Genomic DNA, 16,659 nt, shown 5'->3' with positions numbered 1-16,659 from the left:
TATCTCTTGGGTTTTAAATTCCTAATCTTCTAACTCCACATTGTCTAAGTCCCTTTATTAGTTCCCAGTTCCTTGTCAGAGTTTACTTCTCATCCTCAGCTGGCTGTGACCCTACCAATTTTTTCTCTCTCCTTTCCTCCAACTCCTCTGTTTACACCATTTTCCCCCAGTATTCCTCTTCTCTTGCCCTCTTGCTATTCCTCATCTACACATTTTTTTTTTCCAAAAACTCTTGACTTCTCTTTAGAGTAACTTCTGACTTCCCACCTAACAAACTAGCTCTCTGGGCTATGAAACTTCAGGAAAATTTCCCAGCAACCCATAAGCACTCTGGAGCCAATAGTGGTGAAATCACTACTGCTGTCAGGAGACAGGTCTACAGAGACCAGGACTCCAAATACACATTCCTTAATTAATCAGAGCCTTGATTATTATGTTGCAAGAGCATAACATATACATTACTTCAGCTATCTTATGAATTAGAAATGTATTCCAGCTGCATTATTAAACTGCTTTTGTGGGCTAGCCCAAGAATCTAACCACCATTTATAGCATTATCTGTTTAGAAATGAGGCTCCCATTGTAAATAACCACAAATGAAGTTTTAGACTTGTTCACACTGGCACCTGTAGACATTGTCGTAATTTCCCACCCACGTGCAAACTTCAGCTGAGAATGAAGCAGAAGCCTTTTTGTTTCAAAGACCTGGTTAGCAACAGAAGAAATGCATTGCTACATACTGGAGAAAGCCCACTTGCTGCTCATAATAACAATAAAACCTTTATATCCTGTATATTTTTACCTCTGTAAAGCATCTCATTTTCAAAACTACTCGTAAGACTTTTCAGAGCAAACAGCATGGATTTGGGCAAAGAGCAAACTATTAGAGACAGGGGTCTGCTATTTATTTATTTATTTTTTTAATTTTTTTTGTTATACTTTAAGTTTTAGGGTACGTGTGCACAACGTGCAGGTTAGTTACATATGTATACATGTGCCATGTTGGTGTGCTGAACCCAGTGACTCGTCATTTAACATTAGGTATATCTCCAAATGCTATCCCTCCCCCATTCCCCCACCCCACAACAGGCCCTGGTGTGTGATGTTCCCCTTCCTGTGTCCATGTGGTCTCATTGTTCAATTCCCACCTATGAGTGAGAACATGCAGTGTTTGGTTTTTTGTCCTTACGATAGTTTGCTGAGAATGATGGTTTCCAGCTTCATCCATGTTCCTACAAAGGACATGAACTCATCATTTTTTATGGCTGCATAATATTTCATGGTGTATATGTGCCACATTTTCTTAATCCAGTCTATCATTGTTGGACATTTGGGTGGGTTCCAAGTCTTTGCTATTGTTAAAAGTGCCACAATAAACATCCGTGTGCATGTGTCTTTATAGCAGCATGAGTTATAATCCTTTGGGAATATACCTAGTAATGGGATGGCTGGGTCAAATGGTATTTCTAGTTCTAGATCCCTGAGGAATCGCCACACGACTTCCACAATGGTTGAACTAGTTTACAGTCCCACCAACAGTATAAAAGTGTTCCTATTTCTCCACATCCTCTCCGGCACCTGTTGTTTCCTGACTTCTTAATGATCGCCATTCTAACTGGTGTGAGATGACATCTCACTGTGGTTTTGAATTGCATTTCTCTGATGGCCAGTGATCATGAGCATTTTTTCATGTGTCTTTTGGCTGCATAAATGTCTTCTTTTGAGAAGTGTCTGTTCATATCCTTTGCCCACTTGTTGATGGGTTTTTTTTTTTTTTTTTGTAAATTTGTTTGAGTTCATTGTAGATTCTGGATATTAGCCCTTCGTCAGATGAGTAGATTGCAAAAAATTTCTCCCATTCTGTAGGTTGCCTGTTCACTCTGATGGTAGTTTCTTTTGCTGTGCAGAAGCTCTTTAGTTTCATTAGATCCCATTTATCAATTTTGGCTTTTGTTGCCATTGCTTTTGGTGTTTTAGACATGAAGTCCTTGCCCATGCCTATGTCCTGAATGGTGTTGCCTAGGTTTTCTTCTAGGGTTTTTATGGTTTTAGGTCTAACATTTAAGTCTTTAATCCATCTTGAATTAATTTTTGTATAAGGTGTAAGGAAGGGATCCAGTTTCAGCTTTCTGCATATGGCTAGCCAGTTTTCCCAGCACCATTTATTAAATAGGGAATCCTTTCCCCATTTCTTGTTTTTGTCAGGTTTGTCAAAGATCAGATGGTTGTAGATATGCGGCATTATTTCTGAGGGCTCTGTTCTGTTCCATTGGTCTATATCTCTGTTTTGGTATCAGTACCATGCTGTTTTGGTGACTGTAGCCTTGTAGTATAGTTTGAAGTCAGGTAGTGTGATGCCTCCAGCTTTGTTCTTTTGGCTTAGGATTGACTTGGCAATGTGCACTCTTTTTTGGTTCCATATGAACTTTAAAGTAGTTTTTTCCAATTCTGTGAAGAAAGTCATTGGTAGCTTGACAGGGATGGCACTGAATCTATAAATTACCTTGGGCAGTATTCTGCTATTTATTAGACATGTAATTGGCCAAGTCACTTAATCCTCTGAGCCTCAGTTTTCTAAAGAGTAAGGCAGTAGTCATAATAATAATGCCACCACTATCCTCCCTATCAAATTTCAAGATTTTTCAGTAAGGCATTGACATCAAGACAAATGGGGGTGGGAGTGGGTGTGAAGTTGCAGGGACAGGCAGGGACTGGAGTAACAACAGAAATTCAGACAAGCAGGTGGGACATAGCAACCAAGACAATTGAGCAATGTCCAGATAAAATGCAGGCAAACACCAGGTTAGAAGGCAGAAGTAGCAGAATGGTTCGTTCATGGTCAGAGCTGGGTGAACAAAATTGAGTGGGTGCCATCTGAAATCCCAGTACTTCATGGAGATCTATGCCAAAGCCAGGCTCCATTCCCTGGGGAGAGAACCCAGCAATTAGAATTGCAGGGAAATATACTAGGTACCCAGAATGAGAACTCAAGTGAAGCCCAGTTCTATAAAATGAGGTGGACATAGGACACTTGGAAACAAGTGACAAACTGTAGAGCATCTAATGATGGTTTAGAGCATGTAGTGAAGGATTCTGATGATCATTCCGAGACCACATGTCCCAGCAGCAAAACCTTGGACCATGACATTGAAGGTCACACATTACTAGGGCAAGATACAGGTTATAGGAATGTACATTGATTCAGCAGAGGGTGGTTTGATGAAAAATATTTTAGAGCAGAATTAAGGTTGACTTATCAGTTAGCTCAGTTGGCTGGGCTCTGTGTGAGTGGCGGGGTGCTGACTCCCAGAGCAGGTGACTCCATCTCACTGCCTCATGGCCACAGGCCTCTTCTTTTCTCCTGCCAGTTACCCTATAAATGCTGGATGCCAGCCATGGGCATGACGTGAATCTGTGCTATAGCAGGTGCTCAGCAAGTGTCAGATGAATGCAGGGACAGAGGATTGAATAAATGAATGCAGCAGCTTTTACTACAAAGAAAAGTTATGGAACAATAAGAATAGAATCACATCCTTTGTAATTAAGCCTGCAGACATCCTTAGTGCTCTGTTCTCTGCACTTTGGAAGATAGAATTCAGTCCTCTGAAAGCATTTTAAGAGCTGTGTAGGAAAAGACAAACAAGCTTAGAAGAATTCAGTGAAAGATGAGAAGCCAATTGTCAACAACAAATTTGAAATTCCTATTCAAGGCCAGTAGAAACCAGTAAACAAAAAAATGTTTTAGTCAGAGAGAGTTAATCACTTCATTAATACTTTAATACCTATTTGAAATTGACTGACTTATCAGTCCTGGCATATCTCCTTTGCAATGCATTTAAAGAGGAGTGTAACATAGGATGGAATCCAAGGTGTCACATTCTCAGCTTACTGGTGATTATACAAGGAATGTGGACTAGACCAGTAAAGTCTGTCCTTGAGCCCTGCAGGATCCAAACCTGTGTCTGAAACCCGGTGAATCCCTGTGTCGGGAAGGCATGTGGACCTCTGCTGCCCCAGCACTCATCCCTAGCAAAGGGCCCTTCGCATTTCCTAATTAGGTTATATTCAGTGTTCACAGGGCTGGTAATGGATGAGATACTGAAGTGTAATCACAACCGATATTATTCACGTCCCAGGAATGTGCAGCCGAGGCTGCTCTGCTAGCTCCAACGGAAAACAATGGCGTGGTTGACAAGTAGCCTTTTTACATTTCAGATTCTGATCCAGATTTAGTCCTTCTGTTTGGTCATGATTGCAGAATACATATCTAGAGAGAAGAAATAAACATGCTGTAAATTCAATTTCTTGGGTGTTTGAGGCTCTCTAAGTCCTATACAGACTGGCATAGCCTGCCTGTTAGAATGTTCAGAAATGAGGCTAACTGGGGCAGTCTCTGTGTCTGGTTTGCGATGTCTGGTTGATTAGAGAGGCCCAAGAAACCACAGAAAAGGTAATTAATTTAATCAACAGGTGTTATGCCAGGCATTGTCCTAAAACAAAAGATGAAGGTAAGTGCCTATTCTAAAATTCTTTGTGATCAGGTGAAAACGCCAGACAAAGCATGCTAGCAACTATCCCAAGTCAGATGCAACTCAGTACTATAATGGAGGAATAAACAAAGTATTAATTATTGGCCAGAGCAGAGGATAATTAACTCTGACTAAGGAAAGGGGGTTGACCAGGGGGAATCTTAAAGGATGAGTGAGAATATATGAAGGAAGGGGCTGGGGTGTACATCCCAAGAGATATGAAATGGAACAGAGTCATGGGCAAGGAGGGAAAAATCACCCAGTAAAAAGGACCCCAGAGCACTTCACAGAGGAAGTGATGCTTCTATTGAGACTTGGAGGATATGGAGGTAGCAGATAGTCAGATGGAGAGCAGGGGAAGGGCATTCTAGAAAGAGGAGGCAGCACTGCACAGAGTGAGGTGAAAGAACATAGCAGTGTGGGATGCCATGTGATATGGTTTGGCTGTCCCCGTCCAAATCTCATCTTGTAGTTCCCATAATCCCTGTGTGTCATGGGAGGGACCCAGTGGGAAGTAATCGAATCATGGGGGTGGTTAACCTCATGCTGTTCTCGTGTTAGTGAGTGAGTTCTCATGAGATCTGATGGCTTTATGACGGGCTTTTCCCCCTTTTGCTCAGCACTTCTCCTTGCTGCCACCGTGTGAAGAAGGACGTGTTTGCTTCCCCTTCCACCATGATTGTAAGTTTCCTGAGGCCTCCCCAGCCATGCTGAACTGTGAGTCAGTTAAACCTCTTTCCTTTATAAATTACCTGGTCTCAGGTTTGTCTTTATTAACAGCGTGAAAATGGAGTAAGACACTGGGGATGGTAGAAGATGAGGTTAGAGAGGTAGGCACAGCCAGGGAATGACAGAATATTTTTGTAGTCAGCTGAGTACTTTGTATTTTATCCTGATGGCTATGAGAAGCCACATGCGGTGGTCCAATCTATTTGACTTGGTGACTAATGGGATCTGGGGAGAAGGTGTAAAGGAACCAGGTGAGATATGATGACAGCCTCAACCAAAGATATAATTGACAAATAAATGGCCTCATGTGATCCCATAGGTTTCACTAGGCAGGAGAAGAAAATAGAATAATTCTCCTATCAGTAATATTATTCTCCAATGACTACTCGGTACCTTTTTTCATTATTTATGTAAATTTTATTGCCCCTATTCAATCATCAGGTCCTTGAAGGAAGATCAGAGAGACCTGTGTCTAATTCATGTTTGTGCTGCTCACACTTTCTAACACAGATCTTGCACATATCAAAGATGCTATAAATATATATTGAATAAATATTAACACAGAATTTGTGGGGGGTGGTGGTGCCAGAGTCAGTATTTAAACCAAGAGAAAGCCCTTCAACTCCCTCCTTTGCAGAGAGATTACTCATTCTGCCATACTGCACATCCACAAGACATTTACAGCCTACCAGAGACCTTTAAAGAAAGTTTCATAACATCCCTGCTGACCATCTTTTTGGAGATGGTGGGTACTAGAGTCTATATAATTTCTACAAGATTCTAAAGTAGACTGCCAGACATTAGAAAATGATCTGAATTTATGAGTCAGTCATCCACAAGAGCTACATGTTTGTCAGTGGCAGGGCCAAAATCAACAGGACCTTCTTGCCAAAGTTTCGAGATACCCACTCACCTATTTATTGATATCTAAGGGTTCAGGGTCATCAGGATTCTCTAAAGTCATCCATTTGCAAACATGTTCCAAGACCAGCAGTATTTTGTATATGAAAGCTATCTTGCAATGTAGACTAGCTGAATGAAATGTCTGTCTTTGTCATGAACTTTCATGTTTTCATTTCAGTAATGCAAACCACAACAGTGCTATGATCAACCCTCATCATCAGTATAGAAGAAATTATCTAGTCCTAACCCATGTTCTTACTGGTTTAATCATTTATTTCCAGCTTTCTGCTCTTTGTTTATTATTTATGTAAGATGTTGTAGCTCTGTATGCTGAGTTAAAATGTAATCATTTTATTAATATTTTTTAAAAAGTTAAATTTCTAACCATAAATTATAGGATGATTAGTTAAAGACAGAAATCAGTTTTAAGCAAAATAACTAAGGGCATATCCTCTTCCCAGCATTTTTTATTAAAGAAGTATTTTATTTTAAAATATTTCTAGACTTAACAGAAAAATTGCAAAGATAATACAGAGTCCCACATACCCTATACCCATTCTCACTTATTAACATCTTACATTAATATTGTCCATTTGTGATAAGTAATGAACCAATATTGATATATAGTTTTTAATTAAAGTCTATCATGTATTAAGATTTCCTTAGTTTTTAACTAACATTCTTTTTCTGTTCCAGGATCCCATCAACATAACTCATTAAATTTAGTGGTTGTGTCTCTTTAGGCCCTTGTTTGCCATGACTGTTAAGACTTCCCTTGCTTTTTATGACCTTGACAGTTTTGAGGAGTTCTCCTGTCATTTCTCCTCACATATTTTGTAGAATGTCCCCTAATTGGGAATTATATGATGGCTTTCTCGTGATTAGGCTGGAGTTATGGATTTATGAGATGAAGACCACAGAGGTAAAATGTCATTCTCATCATATATCAAGGCTGCGTACTATCAACAAGATTTATGACTGCTGATATTGACCTTAATCACCTGCTTGGGGTGGTGTTTGTTAGTTTTCTCCACTGTAAAGTTACTCCTCTCATCTTTTATTTGTATTTTATATTATTGTTATTATTTGTTTATTTGTTATTATTTTAGAGACAGACTCTCACTCTGTCACCCAGGCTAGAGGGCAGTGGTGTGATCATAGCTTACTGCAACCTTGAACTCCTGGGTTCAAGTGATCCTCCCACCTCGACTTCCACAAGCGCTAGGATTACAGCCCTTCTCCCCCACTGCACCTCCCCACATTTTTATATTATACTCTGGAAGGAAGCCACAAGGCATAGCACACAATTAAGAAGCAGCGATTTATACTCCACTCTTTGATGGCAAAATATCTACAGAAATTATTTGAACTTCTTCTGCCCGGGAGATTTATCTATTGTCCCCCATTGATTTATTTATTCAATCATTTGTTTGTATCATTATGGTCTCATGGATATCTATTTTGCACTTTCAATACTATTTTATTTTGTTGCTCAAGTTGTTCCAGCCCTGGCCATGGAGAATACATTCAGTTGGCTCCTGTGTCCCTGTAACATAGCCCTGTCATTATTGGATTTGGTTGAGCACTTTCTTACTTTCAGGAGCTACAAAATGCTCTAGGTTCGTCTTGTATATTTCCTGCTCCATCCTAGAGTCCATGTCTCCAAGGAGCTTGGTTCTTTTATTGGAGAATGTATTAGAAACCAAGACCTGGACATGCTCCTTGTTGCAAAGGTGTTATTGCTTCTAGGCTCAGCTGACAGAGAAATAACATATATGTGTGTAAATTAACCCATGTCTATACACATATATCTACAAATCCTTCTCTTTGTAACTATCTGTATCTATATTAAGCTAAATATGAGTTGATACTGATGTCTCCAATCCCAACCCAGTAGCACATAGATAATTCTAACCTTCTCCCCCTTGCTTGTTTCCTCTCCCTCCTACAATGAAGAACCTGGCTTCTGCCATCAGCCATTCGTTTATTTCATTGTTCAATTCCAGTCTCCTGTAGAGTACTTCCATAATTGTTAAGCCATACCCACATAGAAATAACTTTATAAGTTTGAGTGCTTATACAGAGCTCTTTTTGCCTTTAATCTTACAGACTCGATTCATTTCCAAACTTACTTACGTAAGCATTTTCTCTCACATCCCCTTCAGTACGCTTATTTCATGCATTTGTAATACAGTTAGATTATTTTGCCATATTTTACATTTCATCCTGGAATCCTCCAACCTTCTAAATATTTTTTAAATTTTGTATAATTAAGTTTCTCTATGCCATGAAGTTCTATGGGCTTTGACAAGTGCATAGTGTCATGTATCTAGTATTATCACAATATCATAAAAAGATAGTTTTACCACCCTTTAAAAAATCCCTAGTGGTTGACCTATTCAATTCCTTTCACCAAGAGTTTCTGAAACCACTGGTCTATTTGCCATCTCCATAAGAGTTTTGCCTTTTCCAGGATATTACTTAAATGGAATTATACCTTATGTAGCCTTTTAAGACTGGCTTTTTTCACTTAGCAACATGCATTTAAGATTCATCTATGTCTTCCTGTGGTTTGACAGCTCATTCCATTGTGTGGATGTGCCACAGTTTATTTAGCCATTCACCTACTAAAGTTTACTTCTAGTTTTTGGTAGTTGTAAATAAAACTGCTATAAAATTCTCATGCTGATTTTTGTGTAGACATAAGTTCTCAACTCATTTAAGTAAATACTTACGAACATGATTGCTGGGTCCTATGATGAGGCTATGTTTAACTCTAAGAAACTGCCAAACTGTCTTCCAAAGTGGCTGTAACCGTTTTAAATTCACACCAGCAATGAATGAGACTCCTGTTGTTCCACAAAGTTCCGTTGATCCTTGTCAGCAAATGGTATTGTCAGTTATTTTTGGATTTTAGCCATCCTTATAGGTGTATAATAGTACCTCGTTGTTTAACCGCTTTTAAAAATATTAAAAGTTTGTCAGGAGTGGGGAGTAAAACTTAAAAACTAAACAAGAAATCTGAGTCACCAGCATGAGCCATAGAGAACACTGTTGAGATAGCTCAGGCTATAGAAGAGGTGCTCCTCTTCCGGGTCCTATAAGAAGCAGGATGTAGAAACCACCAACTTGTTTCCTCCACTTGACTTTAGCTCTTATGTTCTCCATTATCAAGTAAGAGAGCAAACAAAGTTGTGGGAGCTAATAAGGCTTTACATAAAATAAATGAGAAAGAGAGGAGAGAAATGCAAAAAGTAACTTCTCAGAACACAGAAGACATTATCCTTTCCAAACCAAAATGAAAAACATGTCCAAAAAGAGAAGAGAGGGCTGTCATCTGGATAGAGGAGATGATCCTAGAAACCCTGATGGCTCCTTTTTATTAATATAAGAGTACCTGGGATTTGTTTTAATCAGGTATGGTAAGACATGCAGAAAAGACAGTCATGAAGGAATAAGTTTTTATACTTACAGATACCTAATAACAGGAGCACCCTAGGTAGGGCAACATGGAGAAGGGTGAGTCAAGAGAAAGAAGGAGTGAGGGGGGATCGTGGACAAGAACCTTTATTGAGAAGGGAAAGGCAGAGTAAGCAGGTTTAGGATTGGCTAGTTTGAATAATTCCAGCAGGATCTGGGGCATAGGGGCTGTCTCTAGTCATCTGGTATCCTGTCATGGCCTAGGGTGATTAGGACAGTGGGATAGTGGGTCTGCATATAAGAGCCAGATAAAGGAGGTGGTAGAAGTGTGGGCTTTGGATTGGCTGGTTTGCGTATGAAAGATAGGCTCCCAGGCAAGTTGCTATCTCTAGGAATTTCATAACCCTGGGAGGGGCAGTTCCTTTCAACGTCAGCTAGACTCCAAGATGTTGAAGAATCAGAATAAAAAGACATACTTAATACACTTCTTACATCATTTTTATTGTTGGGTCTACTTTTGCTGAAGCTGCCTGCGACTGTCCTTGGTCTTTTCCCCCGTGACCTCCCTGGTTCCTGAGATCTGAGCAGTATAAGCTTCTCCAGATGCTTGAGGTAACATTGTCTTCTTGAAATTTTACTAAGGTGTGTTTGCTTCTGGTATTGATGGCTACTATACACCTGTTTGACACTTCATGTTTGCAAAGCATGTCAAGTACGCCTGTTGTCTGACCCCCTGTGATCACCCCCTGGAGGTGGAGAATTCATCTTTTACTTTCATTGCTCTTTAACACTTCTCACATCTTTCCACTTGCCTGAGAATCTAAATATTTACACATCTCCCTTATCCGTATATCATCTTGTATTCTGCTTCCTTTTTCATTCCCAATGTCGTGTGCTATCCTTCCCTCTAGGCCACTCCTGATGCTTCAGTCATCTAACACATATTTGTCGCACACAGACTGGAACAGGAATTGTGCCAGGGCCCTGGGACAGAGAGAAATATGGTATCCTTGTGTGGTGGGAAGAATAGATAAGAGCATATGTTTTGAGGCCTGATAATGTGTCAGTCACATCGGTAAGAATTGTTTCAGTTTCACTTAATCTTCACATCACACTTAAGGTGGGTTCTGTGACAACCTGCCCATACTACCACCATTCTTACAAATAAGAACTCAGGTTTAGTGAGCTTAAGTAATGACCCAAGATCACAGGGCTAGCTGATGGACAGCAGGGGTCTGAATCCGGGTGCCTGACACCAGAGCATGTACTTTTCATTTGGATTCCATGAGACTCCCGCAGACATAACTCAGAGCACTTTCCCATCCTAACCCTTGCAAGGATGAACCTCCTTTTTTATATAGAAACAAAATTATTTAGCAAAACAACCTGTCTACACTAGGAGCCTCTACTGCTAACTAATGATCAGATGATCTTGAGAAAATCACTAATTTTCTTTAGTCTCTGTTTCCTCTGCTGTAAAATGAGAAGGCAGGACTAGACGACCTCTAAGATCTCATTAAGCACTGACATTCTTTTAATTGATCAGATACATCTGCACCTCTATTTTAAATAACCATTTTGCTTTGAGGTTCAGAAATACAGGAGAAGGAAAGCCAAGGATGGCAAGGAGCTCACTTGGCGCTGAGAAACATCTTGAAATATTTTTAGCTGGTTTCTCTGACAAAATATGTCCTTTAGTGTTGCAAACTTACCGTACTAAAACCATTGTATACTGACACCAGGAATAAAACAGAAGCGAGCCAAGGCATTTTAAAGACTGACTTTCATTGACTTGAAAACATGCAAAATACAAACATCTCCTGTTACCAAGCCACCACTTCCAAGGCTGACCGAACTCACAAGGGCAATCCTAGAGGTCATTCCATCCCAGCACCCTCATGGACTCACCTCTGCTGCCCTCCCCAAGGCCAACAACAGCCTGGTGAAATAGTCCCAAACTACCAGCCAACCCAGGCTCCATCTTGAACACAGGCATGTGTTCCAGCCTCTGAACATTCTTCATGCCCTTCTCACTGTTGCATCATTCTCCTCCTTGTCTTCACAATTTTATTCATTTGCTAGGGCTGCCCTAACAAAATATCACTATTTGCTATGAGTCTACAATTAGGAAAAAGAAAGAAAAAATGAAATACCACTAGCTATTTCGCTGGGTTGCTTAAACAGCAGCAATTTCTTTCCTCATAGTTCTGGAGGCTGGAAGTCCAAGATCAAAATGCCAGCAGCACTGGCTTCTCCTGGGTCTTCTCTCCTTGCTTGTAGACAACCATCTTCTCGCTGTGCGCCTCACACATACCCCTGGAGTCTGTGTGTGTGTGTCCAAATCTCCTCTTCTTGTAAGGACACCAGTCACATTGGATCACGGTCCACCTATCTGACCTCATTTAACCTTGAATCTCTTTAAAGGCCGTATCTCCAAATACAGTCATTTTAAGGTACTGGTAGTTAGGACTTCAACATATGAATTTGCTGGGGGAGACACAGCCCATGCAGTGTTGGAATCCTACCCATCCACATCCCTCCTCAGATGCACTTCCCTTCAGGAAGCATGAAACTCAGCCAGCTGGAATTTCTCCTTCCTTGAGACCCCATTTCTCCACTCCACCACTTAACAAAGGCCTAGAGGTGTATAAGTTCCTTGTATGACAGAACAATGCCTTGTTTTATAAATAGTGTCTTATATTATTATGTCTCCCAATGGCATATAGTTTAATACCTCATTCGGAGTAAGAATTTAACAAATATTCAATACTTGAACAAATAAAAAACTGTGGTACCTCCATACGATGGATGGATATTATTCAATGCTAAAAAGAAATGAGTTATCAAACCATGAAAAGATATGGAGGAACCTTAAGTGCATATTGTTAAGTAAAAGAAACCAATCTGAAAAGGCTACATACTGTATGATTCCAACTATATGACATACTGGATAAGTCAAAACTATGGAGACAGTAAAAAACATGAGTGATTGCCAGGGTCACTGGGGTGGAATTGGGGAAGGAAGGGAGGAATGAATAAATGGAGCACAGAGGATTTTCGGGGCAATAGAATTGTTCTGACGCTACAATGGTGGATACATATGATTTTACATTTGACAAAATGCATAGAATGCACAACATAACGAATGAAACCTAATGGAAGTGATGGACTTTGGGGGATAATGATGTGTTAATGTAGATTCATCAGTTGTAACAAAGGCACCACCCTGTTGTAGGACTTTATAGCGGGGAGGGTGTGCCTATGTGCGAGTGGGAAGATTATGGAAACTCTCTGTTCTTTCCGCTTAATTTTGCCATGACTCTAAAACTGCTCTAAAAACATATATAGTTTACTTAAAAGGAAACCCCTCAAAAATACAATTTTTAATTGAATTTTCTGCACAGCCCTCATATTTTTAAAAATATGGGTATGGCTTCCATCTTTGGGGTTTCGGTAAGCCCTGCTTTCCTTTATAGTGAGCTAGGTCATTGACAAGGAATAATAAATCAATTAAAAAAGAGAATGGTGTCTAAGACTTCATCATGCCTCCATCATAATCCCAACATTTGGAGATTTCAGGACAGCATGAACCTCAAAGTACGCAGCCTCCCTCCCAAGCAATGTGTGAAGCTTGTTAACTCTGCTCCAAGATGGTATAAAACTTTGATTAGCCAGAATGCTACACTAAAGGACTAGGGTTCTAGTTTATTGGTGTATGGCTGTGGAGTTCATGCCTCCCAAGCCAGCCCTCTTTGGAAGCAAACCAAGCGTTGCCTCCTTGGGGATGGCACTATTCATCCAACATTGCATTGCCCAGGGTGTGTACTTCTGGGATCCATTGCTAAAGGAAGAAATGTTAGGCTCCACTATGAGTACTGCTGCTGGCAAAAGACAAATATCCAGAGGAGCCAGGGCTTTGGGCTGAGAAACAGATGGCGGGAAGCCATCTATAGTGGAGAGAAGAAAGAGGAGGACTCAGGAAGAGGAAGGCACAGGAGGCTGGAAATGAGCCTCGGATCCTTCACCACTTTATCTGAAAACCACACAGGCCGTGAAACTCACCAGTCAAGTCCTGGATCCTCACTGACATCCTCTATGGAGGCCATTTACCTGAGTCTTAAAGATCTGTACCACAAACAGGTGCACTCAGACCACATGCCCCAGCCCTATACAATGGAAAGCCCAGTAATCAGCCCATGTTAATCAGGCCATCCTGGTTACTCTAACCAGAAGTATTCTATTTACTGATCATCTCTCTGTGGTTTCAGCTGTTTCTTGGAGTCTTAGTTTGTTTAAGCTAGTTCAACAGAAACACCATAAACTGGGTGGCTTAAAGAACAAATATTTATCTCACAGTTCTAGAGGCTGGGAAGTCCAGGATCAAGGCCAAGATTGGTGTCAGATGAGGGTCTGCTTCCTGGTTCCTAGGTAACCCTTCTTGCTATGTCCTCACCTGGCAGAAACAGCAAGGGAACTCTCTAAGGTCTCTTTTATAAGGGCACCAATCCTGTTCATGAGTGCTCCAACCTAATCACCTGCTGAAGGCCTCTCCTCCTAATACCATCACTTCAGGGGTTAGGATTTCAACATAGGAACTTTAGGGAGATACAAATATTCAGCCCATAAGAGAGCCAGTGAGAATCAAGAAGGAGTTTCAAGAACCCCTTGGCGAGAGAATGGGGGTGGGGGACGAAGAGAGAAGGACTTCTCACTCATTATAGCTCAACCAGAGCAGCTGCACGTTCACCTGTAATAAGCATTGAGGTCTTGCTTACAATTCCATTCAAAAGGGAGAAAACTTCAAAACCACCAGTGTATAGTGAAATATCAGTATTAGTGGGCCACACATCCCAGATAATCCCAATTGCAATACATATTGTCCCATTGTCAGATAACGTATCAGAATATGCATCCCTATTTGGCATTTGGAAAACATGGAATTGATAACATTTATTATTTATTATATATTATCTGGTATTATAGTGACTTGGGTGCTCGTTTTATCATCTGTACAAGTTTAACCTACTTAGGTGTAGGAAGCATATTCATCTTTGTACCTTTTAGAGTACCTGTCACAATGCCTTACACTCTGGTGTTCAATAAATATAAGTTGAATGACAATAAGAGTGTTAGGTCATATTCACTAGCAAACAGAGCTGTGCAGCGGGTTCTAAGGGCTATAATATAATGGCATGAACGTGCAAATTCTTACCTTTGTTTTCTAGGCAAGTCCATAATTAGAAACAATTTAAAGATAAGACTTTACAAACCAAAAAGGAAGTCCTAGACCACTCTTAGGCACAAAGATTTTAATATAGTGCCACAGAGGAGATGACTACCTTGGAAGAAGCAGCTCAGCATTCAGTGCTCACTTGTGTCAGTATAATAGCATTTCCAGACAAAAGTGCAAAGCACGGGATTACCAAGTGTTGACTCTTGCATGTGTGCATGTCCTGATGCTCAGACAAGTGATCTGATTACAGTCAGGGGCATCTAGATGTCTCTGGAATGTTCAGATGGAGGGTTTCGACAACATAGTTTCCACATCGAGTCCACTGGTTTGAAAAATAAGAGGAATATAGGTCAGCCCAAGGAGAGTGCCAGCACTGTTGGCCCAATTCCTTGGCACAAAGTAGACACCCAATAAACACGCCTTAAATGTGTAAAATGGCTCCCCTCCCCTCTGGCTCCAACCTGTTCAGTCAGTAGCCAGGGAGTTCCAAGTACTCTCAAGGCCCCGCATCTATCTGTTATCTTTGTTGAGGAAGACACCACGACCATTGTTTCTGCAGTGTTGACGACCAGGTGAACATTTCTGAAAATCAGGCATGGCCAAGAAGGGGCCTTCAGAGCATCCACAGTACCAGGTTGAAGAGCCCAGCACATCAGAAACATGAGCCACAGGGAAGGATGCTGTCCCTAAGTGCAAGCCACCTTGGGGCCCTAAAAGGAGGAAGAGACAATTGTCTGATGCGGTTTACATATATCCCTATGGGTTGCTGTTTGTGAAGTAAATGCAAGAACAATCCTGGGTGTCCTCTACTGCACATTTCCTGGTTCCCTTTATGGGAGTCCAAATGAAGTGATCTGTAATTAACCCTCAGAAGATGATCTGTCCTTGGTGCACACTGCTAGGTGTAGGTGTGTGTTTTGGGGGATGGTGTAGGAGTATGTGTTCTTCTATCCATGTGCATGAATGCATGCAGGGAAGCAGAAGTTGGGGGCGGTATCATTGCAGACCTCTCTCTCTTTTTTTTTTTTTTTTTTTGAGATGGAGGCTCGCTCTGTCGCCCAGGCTGGAGTGCAGTGGCACGATCTTGGCTCACTGCAACCTCTGCCTCCTGGGTTCAAGCAATTCTCTGCCTCAGCCTCCCGAGTAGCTGTGATTACAGGTGACTGCCACTGCACCTGGCTAATTTTTTTGTATTTTTGGTAGGGACAGGGTTGCACCATCTTGGCCTTGTGATCTACCTGCCTCCACCTCCGAAAGTGCTGGGATTACAGGTATGAGCCACCGCGGCCAACCGACCTCTCTCTTTTTTATTGTGTCTCACTAACCCAGAGCATTAACTGAAATAGTCATTTTTTCTTGCTCATCCTGTAATCACTATCAAAGCTCTATAATGTTCAATTTTTGTCAGGTACCAAAAAGGATGAACAAAGACATTCTGACATTACAACAGGCTGGATTTGCTACGAGGTATACAAATGAAGAAGGCTTGGAGAAAGAATTAGCGGGGATTCGCATCTAGATAAAGCAAGTTATCACTGTCTGCATAACCTTGAATGAATCACAGACCTTTCTCTAGCTCATTCATTAAAGCTTTGTTTAATTCAACAAATATTTATCACATGACAGGCGCCTGCCCTAAGCACTGGGGCTTCATTCATTTATTCATTCAACAAATATTTATTAAATCTCTACTATGTGCCAAGCACTGATCACGGGGTTGGGATACAGCCATGAATAAAATAGGCAATATTTCTGCCCCTCATGGAGTTTATATTCTAGTGGTATGGGGAGCAGGGAGGCAATAAACAAATAAATATACAATCAACATGTCAGGTGTTAAGTGCT

General features: G+C 40.9%; 1 long non-coding RNA gene across 1 annotated transcript; it reads left to right on the top strand.

Annotated features, from left to right (window-relative positions):
- Positions 1-9,624: 9,624 nt before the first annotated feature.
- Positions 9,625-16,551, top strand: LOC107985870 (uncharacterized). The gene is made up of 3 exons (XR_001739410.2): positions 9,625-10,193; positions 16,018-16,085; positions 16,223-16,551. It is a non-coding gene; the product is annotated as an uncharacterized LOC107985870 (long non-coding RNA).
- The last annotated feature ends 108 nt before the right edge of the window (positions 16,552-16,659 follow it).

Source organism: Homo sapiens, chromosome 2 (assembly GCF_000001405.40).
Source record: "Homo sapiens chromosome 2, GRCh38.p14 Primary Assembly".
In the NCBI taxonomy this organism is placed as follows: Eukaryota; Metazoa; Chordata; class Mammalia; order Primates; family Hominidae; genus Homo; species Homo sapiens.
The sequence above is the reverse complement of the archived record's forward strand: the minus strand, read 5'-3'. Positions and strand labels throughout refer to the sequence as shown.